This window comes from Homo sapiens, chromosome 16 (genome assembly GCF_000001405.40).
Source record: "Homo sapiens chromosome 16, GRCh38.p14 Primary Assembly".
NCBI lineage: Eukaryota > Metazoa > Chordata > Mammalia > Primates > Hominidae > Homo > Homo sapiens.
The window spans coordinates 35956427-35969377 of NC_000016.10; the positions used below are offsets into that span (position 1 = coordinate 35956427).

The 12951-nt window shown below is 37.4% G+C and overlaps 1 annotated feature.

The window, feature by feature from the left end:
* Window positions 10593-11094: an enhancer, noted in NCBI's record as "NANOG hESC enhancer chr16:35201390-35201891 (GRCh37/hg19 assembly coordinates)". NCBI's record gives its function as "activates a minimal SCP1, AML or CMV promoter by ChIP-STARR-seq in primed H9 embryonic stem cells {active_cell/tissue: H9 hESC(primed)}" and the evidence as "EXISTENCE:reporter gene assay evidence [ECO:0000049][PMID:30033119]".

The window sequence follows — 12951 nt, forward strand, 5'->3', positions numbered from 1 at the left end:
GAATTTTTCTTAGTACAGAACAAAATGGAGTCTCCTATGTCTACTTCTTTCTACACAGACACAGTAACAATCTGATCTCTCTTGCTTTTCCCCACACGTTGAATGTGTCCCAGAGATTCTGGTATGTTGTGTCTTTGTTCTCCTTGGTTTCAAAGAACATCTTTATTTCTGCCTTCATTTTGTTATGTACCCATTAGTCATTCAGGAGCAGGTTGTTCAGTTTCCATGAAGTTGAGCGGTTTTGAGTGAATTTCTTAATCCTGAGTTCTAGTTAGATTGCACTGTGGTCTCAGAGACAGTTTGTTATAATTTCTGTTCTTTTACATTTGTTGAGGAGAGCTTTACTTCCAACTATGTGGTCAGTTTTGGAATAGGTGTGGTGTGGTGCTGAAAAGAATGTATATTCTGTTGATTTGGGGTGGAGAGTTCTGTAGATGTCTATTAGGTCTGCTTGGTGAAGAACTGAGTTCAATTCCCGGGTATCCTTGTTAACTTTCTGTCTCGTGGATCTGTCTAATGTTGACAGTGGGGTGTTAAAGTCTCCTATTATTATTGTGTGGGAGTCTAAGTCTCTTTGTAGGTAACTAAGGACTTGCTTTATGAATCTTGTTGCTCCTGTACTGGGTGCATATATATTTAGGATAGTTAGCTCTTCTTGTTGAACGGATGCCTTTACCATTATGTAATGGCCTTCTTTGTCTCTTTTGATCTTTGTTGGTTTAAAGTCTGTCTTATCAGAGACTAGGATTGCAACCCCTGCCTTTTTTTGTTTTCCATTTGCTTGGTAGATCTTCCTCCATCCTTTTATTTTGAGCTTACCTGTGTCTCTGCATGTGAGATGGGTTTCCTGAATACAGCACAATGATGGGTCTTGACTCTTTATCGAATTTGCCAGTCTGTGTCTTTTACTTGGAACATTTAGTCCATTTACATTTAAGGTTACTATTGTTATGTGTGAATTTGATCCTGTCATTATGATGTCAGCTGGTTATTTTCCTCGTTAGTTGATGCAGTTTCTTCCAAATCTTGATGGTCTTTACCTTTTGGCATGATTTTGCAGTGGCTGGTACTGGTTGTGCCTTTCCCTGTTTAGTGCTTCCTTCAGGAGCTCTTTTAGGGAAGGCCTGGTGGTGACAAAATCTCTCAGCCTTTGCTTGTCTGTAAAGGATTTGATTTCTCCTTCACTTATGAAGCTTAGTTTGGCTGGATATGAAATTCTGGGTTGAAAATTCTTTTCTTTAAGAATGTTGAATATTGGCCCCCACTCTCTTCTGGCTTGTAGATTTTCTTCTGAGAGATCAGCTGTTAGTCTGATGGGCTTCCTTTTGTGGCTAACCAGACTTTTCTCTCTGGCTGCTCTTAACATTTTTTCCTTCATTTCAACTTTGGTGAATCTGACAATTATGTGTCTTGGAGTTGCTCTTCTCGAGGAGTATCTTTGTGGCATTCTCTGTATTTCCTGAATTTTAATGTTGGCCTGCCTTGCTAGATTGGGGAATTGCTCCTGGATAATATCCTGCTTAGTCACTTCTAACTTGGTTGTATTCTCTCTGTCACTTTCAGGTACCCCAATCTGACGTAAATTTGGTCTTTTCACATAGTCCCATATTTCTTGGAGGCTTTGTTCATTTATTTTAATTCTTTTTTTTCTAAACTTCCCTTCTCACTTCATTTCATTCATTTGATCTTCCATCACTGATACCCTTTCTTCCAGTTGATTGCATCAGCTCCTGAGGCTTCTGCCTTCTTCATGTATTTCTCGGGCCTTTGCTTTCAGCTCCATCAGCTCCTTTAAGCACTTCTCTGTATTGGTTATTCTACTTATACATTCGTCTAAATTTTTTTCAAAGTTTTCAACTTCTTTGCCTTTGGTTTGAATTTCCTCCTGTAGCTTGGAGTAGTTTGATCATCTGAAGCCTTCTTCTCTCAGCTCATCAAAGTCATTCTCCATCCAGCTTTTTTCCATTGCTGGTGAGGAACTGCATTCCTCTGGAGGAGGAGAGGCACTCTGCTTTTCAGAGTTTCCAATTTTTCTGCTCTGTTTTTTCCCCATCTTTGTGATTTTATCTACTTTTGGTATTTGAAGATGGTGATGTACAGATGGTTTTTTGGTGTGGATGTCCTTTCAGTTTGTTAGTTTTCCTTCTAACAGACAGGACCCTCAGCCAAGATGGCCGAAGAGGAACAGCTCCAGTCTACAGCTCCCAGCGTGAGCGATGCAGAAGACAGGTGATTTCAGTGCACCGTGCACCAGCCAATGCAGGGCGAGGTATTGCCTCACTCAGGAAGTGCAAGGGGTCAGGGATTCCCTTTCCTGGTCAAGGAAAGGGGTGACAGACAGCACCTGTAAAATCGGGCCACTCCCACCCAAATGCTGCACTTTTCCAAAGGGCTTAGGAAACGGCGCACCAGGAGATTATATCCCACACTTGGCTTGGAGGGTCCTATGCCCACGGAGTCTCACTGATTGCTAGCACAGCAGTCTGAGATCAAACTGCAAGGTGGCAGTGAGGCTGGGGGAGGGGCGCCTGCCATTCTCCAGGCTCACTTAGGTAAACAAAGCAGCCCAGAAACTTGAACTGGGTGGAGCCCACCACAGCTCAAGGAGGCCTGCCTGCCTCTGTAGGCTCCACCTCTGGGGGCAGGGCACAGACAAACAAAAATACATCAGTAACCTCTTCAGACTTAAATGTCCCTGTCTGACAGCTTTGAGGAAAGCAGTGGTTCTCCCAGCATGCAGCTGGAGATCTGAGAATGGGCAGACTGCCTCCTCAAGTGGGTCCCTGACCCCTGAGCAGCCTAACTTGGATGCACCCCCTGGTAGGGGCAGACAGACACCTCTGAGAAACTTCTTTGTGATGAGTGAATTCATCTCACAGAGTTGAACCTTTCTTTTGATTGAGAAGTTTGGAAACAGTCTTTTTGTAGAATCTGCAAAGGGATTTTTGAGAGTGCTTTGAGGCCTTTGGTGAAAAATGAAATATCTTCTCATAAAAACAAGACAGAAGCTTTGGAGAAACTTCTTTGTGATATGTGGATTCATCTTACTGAGTTGAACCTTTCTTTTGATTGAGCAGTTTGGAAACAGTCTTTTTGTATAATCTGCAGAGGGATATTTTGAGTAGTTTGGGGCCTATTGTGAAAAAGGAAATATCTTCACATAAAAACCAGACAGAAGCATTCAGGGAAACTCATTTGTGATGTGTGCATTCTTCTTAGAGATTTGAACATTTCTTTTGACTGATCAGATTAGAAACAGACTTTCTGTAGATTCTGCATGGGAAATTTGTGAGCAGTTTGAGGCATTTGGTGAAAAAAGAAATATCTTCACATAAAAACTAAACAGAAGCATTCTGAGAAATTTCTTTGTGATGTGTGCCTTCATCTCACAGAGTTGAACCTTTCCTTTGACTGATCAGTTTCGAAATAGTCTTCCTGTACAATCTGCTAAGGGATATTTCCGAGCAGTTTGAGGCCTATGGTGAAAAATAAATATCTTCACATAAAAACTAGACAGAAAATTTCTGACAAACTCCTTTGTGATGTGTGCTTTCATCTCACAGAGTTGAACCTTTCTTTTGATTGAGCTGTTTGGAAACAGTCTTTTTGTAGTATGTGCAAATGGATATTTGGAGCACAATGAGGCCTATGGTGAAAAAGGAAATATCTTCACATAAAAAATAGAGAATTGTTTTCTGAGAAACTTCTTTGTGATATGTGCATTCATCTCACTGAGTTGAACCTTTATTTTGATTAAGCAGTTTGGAAACAGTTTTTTGTGGATCTGCAAATGGAGATTTGTGACCCCATTGAGACCTATGGTGAAATAGGAAATATCTTCACATAAAAACTAGACAGAAGCATTCTAAGAAACTTCTTTTTGATGTATGCTTTCATCTCTAAGAGTTGAACATTTCTGCTGATTGAGAAGTTTGGAAACAGTGTTTTGTAGAATCTGAAAATGGATATTAGGAGAGCTTTGAAGCCTATGGTCAAAAAGGAATTATCTTCACATAAAAACTAGACTGAAGCTTTCTGAGAAATTTCTTTGTGATGTCTGCATTCATCTCAGAGACTAGAACTTCTCTTTTGATGACCAGTGTGTAAACAGTCTTTTTTTTATAATTTGCAGAGGGATATTTGTGAGCAGTTTGAGGTCTATGGTGAAAATGGAAATATCTTCACATAAAAACTAGACAGAAGCATTCCAAGAAACTTCTTTGTGGTCTGAGCATTCACCTCAGAGAGATGAACCTTTCTTTTGAATGAGCAGTTTGGAAACAGTTTTTTGTAGAATCTGCATAGAGGTATTTTGACCCTCTTCAGGCCTATGGTGAAATACGAAATATCTTCACATAAAAATTACATGGAAGGATTCTGAGAAACGTCTTTGTGATATGTGCTTTCATCTCACAGAGTTGAAACTTTCTTTTGATTGAGCAGTTTGGAAACTGTCTTTTTGAAGAATCTGCAAATGAATATTTGGAGCACTTTGAGTCCTACTGTGAAGAAGGAAATATCTTCACATAAAAACTAAACAGAACTTTTCTGAGAAACTTCTTTGTGATGTGTGCATTCATCTCACAGAGTTAAACCTTCCTTTTGTTGAGCAGTTTGGAAACAGTCTTTTTTTAATAACCTGCAGAGTGATATTTGTGAACGGTTTGAGGCCTATGGTGAAAATGGAAATATCTTTGCATAAAAACTAGACTGAATTCTGAGAAGCTGCTTTGTGATGTGTGCATTCATATCACAGAGTTCAACATTTCTTTTGATTGAGCAATTTTGAAACAGTTTCTTGTGGAATCTACAAAGGGATATTTGTGACCCCATTGAGGCCTATGGTGGAATAGGAAATATCTACACATACAAACTAGACCAAAGCATTCTGAGAAACTTCTTTGCAATGTCTGCTGTCTTCTCACACAGTTGAACCTTTCATTTGATTGAGAAGTTTGGAAACAGTCTTTTTGTATTATCTGCAAATGGATATTTGGAGTGCTTTGAGGCCTATGGTGAAAAAGGAAATATCTTCACATAACAACTAGACTGAAGCTTTCTGAGAAACTTCTTTGTGATGTGTGCATTCACCTCACAGAGTTGAAACTTTCTTTTGATTGAGAAGTTTCAAAACAGCCTTTTTGTAGAATCTGCAAATGGATATTTGTGAGTGGTTTGAGTCCTATGGTGAAAAAGGAAATATCTTCACATAAAAACTAGACAGACGTTTTTTGAGAAACTTCTTTGTGATTTGTGCATTCACCTCACAGAGTTGAACCTTTCCTTTGATTGAGCACTTTGGAGACACTCTTTTTGTACAATCTGCAAAGGGATATTTCTGAGCAGTTTGACACCTATGGTGAAAAACAAATATCTTCACATAAAAACTAGACACAAGTTTTTGAGAAAATTCTTTGTGATGTGTGCATTCATCTCACACAGTTGAAGGTTTCTTTCAACAGAGTAATTTGGACACAGTCTTTTTGCACAATCTGCAAAGGGATATTTCTGAGCAGTTTGAGGCCTATGGTAAAAAAGTAATATCTTCACATAAAAACTAGGCAAAAGGTTTCTGACAAACTTCTTTGTGATGTGAGCTTTCATCTCACAGATTTGAAGCTTTCCTTTGGTTGAGCAGTTTGGAAACAGTCTTTATGAAGAATCTGCAAATGGATATTTGGAACGCTTTGAGGTCTATGGTAAAAAAGGAAATATCTTCACATAAAAACTAAACAAAAGTTTTCTGAGAAACGTTTTTGTGATGACTGCATTCATCTCACAGAGTTGAACCTGTCTTTTGATTGAGCAGTTTGGAAACAATTGTTTTTTTCATAATCTGCAGAGGCATATCCGTGAGCGGTTTGAGGACTACAGTGAAAAAAGAACTATCTTCACATAAAAAATACTAGAAGCATTATGTGAAACTGCCTTGTGATTTGTGCATTCATCTCACAGAGATGAACGTTTATTTGGATTGGGCAGTTTAGAAACAGTTTCTTGTGGAATCTGCAAACGGATATTTTTGACCACATTGAGGCCTATGATGAAATAGGAAATATCTTCACATAAAAACTAGACAGAGGTATTCTGAGAAACTGCTTTGTGTTGTGAACTTTCATCTCACACAGTTGAACCTTTCATTTGATTGAGAAGTTTGGAAACAGTCTTTTTGTAGAATCTGCAAAAGGATATTTGGAGCACCTTGAGGCCTATGGTGAAAAAGGAAATATCTTCAAAAAAAAGTAGACAGAAACTTTCTGAGAAGCTTCTTGGTGATGTGTGCTTTCATCACACAGAGATGAACCTTTATTTTGATAGAGCAGTTTGGAAACAGTCTTTTTGTAGTATCTGCAAATGTATATTTGGAGCGCTTTGAGGCATATGGTGAAAAGGAAATATCCTCACATAAAAACTAAACAGAACATTTCTGAGAAACTTCTTTGTGATGCATGCTTTCATCTCACAGAGTTGAACATTTCTTTTGATTGAGCAGTTTGGAAACAGCCTCTTTGTTGAATTTGCAGATGGATATTTTTGAGCTGTCTGAGGCACGGGGTGAAAATGGAAATATCTTAATATAAAATCTAGATAGAAGCATTCTGAGAAACTTCTTTGTGATGTATGCTTTCATCTCACAGAGATGAACCTTTGTTTGATTGAGCAGTTTGGAAACGGTCATTTTGTAGAATCTGCAAAGGAATATTTGTGACCACAATGAGGCCTATGTTGAAATAGGAAATATCGTAACATAAAAACTAGACGGAAAAAGGGATGTAAAGGACCTCTTCAAGAAGAACTACAAACCACTACTCAATGAAAGAAAAGAGGATACAAACAAATGGAAGAACATTCCATGCTCATGGGTAGGAAGAGTCAATATCGTGAAATTGGCCATACTGCCCAAGGTAATTTATAGATTCATTGCCATCCCCATCAAGCTACCAATGACTTTCTTCACAGAATTGGAAAAAACTAATTTAAAGTTCATATGGAACCAAAAAGAAGCCCACATCACCAAATCAATCCTAAGCCAAAAGAACAAAGCTGGAGGCATCACGCTACCTGACTTCAAACTATACTACAAGGCTACAGTAACCAAAACAGCATGGTACTTGTACCAAAACAGAGATATAGATCAATGGAACAGAACAGAGCCCTCAGAAATAATGCCACATATCTACAACTCTCTGAGCTGTGACAAACCTGTGAAAAACAAGCAATGCAGAAAGGATTCCCTATTTAATAAATGGTTCTGGGAAAACTGGCTAGCCATATGTAGAAAGCTGAAACTGGATCCCTTCCTTACACCTTATACAAACATTAATTCAAGATGGATTAAAAACTTAAACGTTCGACCTAAAACCATAAAAACCTTAGAAGAAAACCTAGGCATTACCATTCAGGACATAGGCATGGGCAAGGACTTCATGTCTAAAACACCAAAAGCAATGGCAACAAAAGCCAAAATTGACAAATGGGATCTAATTAAACTAAAGAGCTTCCGCACAACAAAAGAAACTACCATCAGAGTGAACAGGCAACCTACAGAATGGGAGAAAATTTTTGCCAGCTACTCATCTGACAAAGGGCTAATATCCAGAATCTACAATGAACTCAAACAAATTTACAAGAAAAAAACAACCCCATCAAAAAGTGGGCGAAGGACATGGACAGACACTTCTCAGAAGAAGACATTTATGCAGCCAAAAAACACATGAAAAAAGGCTCAACATTACTGGCCATCAGAGAAATGCAAATCAAAACCACAATGAGATACCATCTCACACCAGTTAGAATGGCAATCATTAAAAAGTCAGGAAACAACAGGTGCTGGAGAGGATGTGGAGAAATAGGAACACTTTTACACTGTTGTTGGGACTGTAAACTAGTTCAACCATTGTGGAAGTCAGTGTGGCGATTCCTCAGGTATCTAGAACTAGAAATACCATTTGACCCAGCCATCCCATTACTGGGTATATACCCAAAGGACTATAAATCATGCTGCTATAAAGACACATGCACACGTATGTTTATTGCGGCACTATTCACAATAGCAAAGACTTGGAACCAACCCAAATGTCCAACAATGATAGACTGGATTAAGAAAATGTGGCACATATACACCATGGAATACTGTGCAGCCATAAAAAATGATGAGTTCATGTCCTTTGTAGGGACATGGATGAAATTGGAAATCATCCTTCTCAGTAAACTATCACAAGAACAAAAAACCAAACACTGCATATTCTCACTCATAGATGGGAATCGAACAATGAGATCACATGGACACAGGAAGGGGAACATCACACTCTGGGGACTGTTGTCAGGTGGGGGAGGAGGGAGGGATAGCTTTAGGAGATATACCTAATGCTAAATGATGAGTTAATGGGTGCAGCACACCAGCATGGCACATGTATACATATGTAATTAACCTGCACATTGTGCACATGTACCCTAAAACTTAAAGTATAATAATAATAAAATAAAAATAAAATAAAAACTAGACAGAAGCATCTGAGAAACTACTTTGTGATGTGTGCTTTCATCTCACAGAGTTGAACCTTTCGTTTGATTGAGAAGTTTGGAAACAGCTTTTTTGTAGAATCTGTAAATGGATATTTGGAGCGCTTTGAGGCCTATGGTGAAAAAGGAAATATCTGCACATAGAAACTAGACAGAAGCTTTCAGAGAAACTTCTTTGTGATGTGTGCATTCATCTCACTGTGTTGAAATTTTCTTTTGATTGAGCAGTTTGGAAACAGTCTTTTTGAAGTATTTGCAAATGGATATTTGGAGCGCCTTGAGTCCTATGGTGAAAAAGGAAATATCTTCACATAAAAACTAGACAGAAACTTTCTGACAAACTTCTTTCTGATGTGTGCTTTCTTCTCACAGTGTTGAATCTTTCTTTTGATTGAGCAGTTTGGAAACAATTTCTTATGGAATCAGCAAAGGGATAATTGTGACCCCATTGTGGCCTATGGTGAAATGGGAAATATCTTCACATAAAACTAGACAGAAGCATTCTGAGAAACTTCTTTGTGATGTGTGCTTTCATCTCATGGAGTTGAATTTTTCCTTTGATTGAAAAGTTTGGAAATAGTCTCTTCGTAGAATCTGCAAATGGATATTTGGAGTGCTTTGAGGCCTGTGGTGAAAAAGGATATATCTTAACATAAAAACTAGACTGAAGATTTCTGAGAAACTACTTTGTGATTTGTGCATTCATCTCACAGAGATGAATCTTTCTTTTGATTGAGCAGTTTGGAAACAGTCTTTTTGTAGAATCTGCAAATGGATATTTGGAGTGCTTTGAGGCCTGTGGGTAAAATGTAACTATCTTCAAATAAAAAGTAGACTGAAGCATTGTGAGAAATTTCCTTGTGATGTGTGCTTTCGTTTCGCACAGTTGAACCTTTCTTTTGGCTGAGCAGTTTGGAAAAAGTCTTTTTGAAGGATCTGCAAATGGACATTTGGAGCGTTTTCAGTCCTATGGTGAAAATGGAAATATCTTCACATAAAAACTAGACTGAAGAATTCTGAGAAACTTCTTTGTGATGTGTGCATTCATCTCACAGAGTTGAACGTTTCTTTTGATAGAGCAGTTTGGAAACAGTCTTTTTGTAGATTCTGCAGAGGGATATTTGTGAGCGGTTTGAGTTCTATAGTAAAAAAGGAAGTATCTTCACATAAAAACTAGACAGTCGATTTTTGAGAAATTTCTTTGTGATGTGTGCATTCTTCTCAAAGATTTGAACCTTTCCTTTGCTGGAGCAGTTTGGAAAGAGTTTTTTGTAGAATCTGCAAAGGGATATTTGTGACCTCATTGAGGCCTATTGTGAAACAGAAAATATCTTCACATAAAAACTAGACAGAAGCGTTGTGAGAAACTCCTTTGTGATGTGTGAATTCATCTCATAAAGTTGAAATTTTCTGTAGATTGAGAAGTTTGGAACCTGTCTTTTGGTATAATCTGTAAATGGATATTTGGAGCACTTTGAGGCTTATGGTGGAAAAGGAAATATGTTCAAATAAAAACTAGACTGACTCTTTCTGAGAAACTTCTTTGTGATGTGTGCATCCATCTCACAGAGTTGAACCTTTCTTTTGATTGAGCAGTTTTCAAACAACTATTTTTTGATAATCTGCAAGTGGATATTTGGAGCACCTTGAGGCCTATGGTGGAAAAGGAAATATCTTCATATAAAAACTAGACAGAAGCATTCTGAGAAACTGCTTTGTGATGTGTGCATTCAACTCACAGAGTTGAACCTTTCTTTTGATAGAGCAGTTTGGAAACAGTCTTTCTGTACAATCTGCAGGGGGATAATTCTGAGCGCTTTGTGTCCTATAGTTAAAAAGAAATATATACACACAAAAATTAGACAGAAGCTTTCTGGCATATTCTTTGTGATGTGTGCTTTCATCTCACAGAATGGAACCCTTCCTTGGATTGAGCAGTGTGGAAACAGGATTTTGTAGAATCTGCAAATGAATATTTGGAGCACTTTGGGGCCTATGGTGAAAAAGGGAATATCTTCACATAGAAAATAGATAAAAGTTTTCTAAGAAACTTCTTTGTCATGCGGGCATTCATCCCACAGTGTTGAAACTTTCTTTTGATTGATCAGTTTGGAAACAGTCTTTTTGTAGAATCTACAAATGGATATGTGGAGTGCTCTGAATCCTATGGTGAAAAAGGAAATATCTTCAAATAAAAACTAGTCAGAATCTTTCTGAAAAACTTCTTTGTGATGTGTGCATTCATCTCACAGAGTTGAACCTTTGTTTTGATTGAGCAGTTTTGAAACAGTCTTTTTGTAGAATTTTCAAAGGGATATTTGTGAGTGGTTTCAGGCCTATGGTGAAAAAGGAAATATCTTCACATGAAAACTAGACAGGAGCATTCTGAGAAACTTCTTTGAGATGTGCACATTCATCTCACATAGTTGAACTTTTCTTTTGATTTAGAAGTTTGGAAACAGTCTTTTTATAGAGTCTGCAAAGGTATATTTTTGAGCCCTCTGAGGCCCATGGTGAAAAAGGAAATATCTTCACTTAAAAACTAGACTGAAGCTTTCTGAGAAACTTCTTTGTGATGTGTGCATTCGTCTCACAGAATTCAACTTTCTTTTTATTAAACAGTTTGTAAACGTGTTTTTAGAGTCTGCAAATGATACCTGTGAGCCCTTTGTAGCCTATAGTGAAAAAGGAAATATGTTGAGATAAAAACTAGACAGAAGCTTTCTGAGAAACTACTTTCTGATGTGTGCGTTCATCTCACAGAATTGAAACTTTCTTTTGATTCAGCACTTTGGAAACAGTTTTTCGTAGAATCTGCAAAGGGATATTTGTGACCACTTTTAGGCCTATGGTGAAATAGGAAATATCTTCACATAAAAACTAGACGGAAGAATTCTGAGAAACTTCTTTCTGATGTGTGTGTTCATCTAACAGAGTTGAACCTTTCTTTTGATTAAGCAGTTTGGAAACACTCTTTTTGTAGTATCTGCAAATGGATATTTGGAGTGCTTTGAGGCCTATGGTGAAAAAGGAAATATCTTCACATAGAATGTAGGCAGAAGCTTTTTGAGAAACTACTTTGTCATGTGTGCATTCATCTCACAGTGTTGAACCTTTCATTTGATTGAGCAGTTTGGAAGCAGTCTATTTGAAAAATCTGCAAGTGGATATTTGGAGTGCTTTGAGTCCTATGGTGAAAATATATTCAAATTAAATATATTCAAATTAAATATATTCAATTTAATTGGAAATATTAAAGGAAATATATTCAAATTAAAACTAAACAGAAATTTTTTGAGAAACTTCTTTGTTATGTGCACATTCATCTCACAGAGTTGAACGTTTCTTTTGATTGAGAAGTTTGGAAACAGCCTTTTTTTAGAATCTGCAAATGGATATTTGGAGTGCTTTGCTGCCTGTGGTGAAAAAGGAAATATCTTCAAATAAAAACTAAATAGAATATTTCTGATAATCTTCTTTGTGATGTGTGCATTCATCTGACAGATTTGAAACTTTCTTTTGATTCAGCAGTTTGGAAACAGTCTTTTTTTATAATCTGCAGAGTAATATTTGTGAGCAGTTTGAGGTCTATGGTGAAAATGGAAACATCTTCACATAAAAGCTATACAGAAGCACTCTGAGAAACTTCTTTGTGATGTGTGCATTCATCTCAGTGTTGAACCTTTCTTTTGATTGAGCAGTTTATAAATAGTTTCTTGTGGAATCTACAAAGGGATATTTTTGACCCCATTGACGCCTATGGTGAAATAGGAGAATCTTCACATAAAAACTAGACAGAAGCATTCTGAGAAACTGCTTTGTGATGTGTGCTTTCAACTCACAGAGTTGAACTTTTCGTTTGATTGAGAAATTTGGGAACAGTCTTTTTGTAGAATCTGCAAATGGATATTTGGTGTGCCTTGACACCTATGGTGAAAAATAAAATACCTTCACGTAAAAACTAGACAGAAACATTCTGAGAAACTTCTTTGTGATGTGTGCATTCATCTCAGGGAGTCGAACCTTTCTTTAGATTGAGTAGTTTGGAAACTGTCTCTTTTTAGTATTTGCAGATGGATATTCATCAGTGGTTTCAGGCATATGGTGAAAATGGAAACATCTTCACATAAAAATTAGACAGACGCTTTTTGAGAAACTTCTTTGTGATGTGTGAATTCATCTCATGGAGTTGAACCTTTCTTTAGATTGAGCAGTTTGGAAACAGTTTTTCTAGAATCTGCAAAGGGATATTTGTGACCCCATTGAGGCCTATTGTGAAATAGGAAATATCTTTACATAAAAACTTGACAGAAGCATTCTGAGAAACTTCTTTGTGATGTGTGATTTCATCTCAGAGAGATGAATCTTTCTTTTGATTGAGCAGTTTGGAAACAGTCATTTTGTAGACTCTGCAAATGGATATTTGGA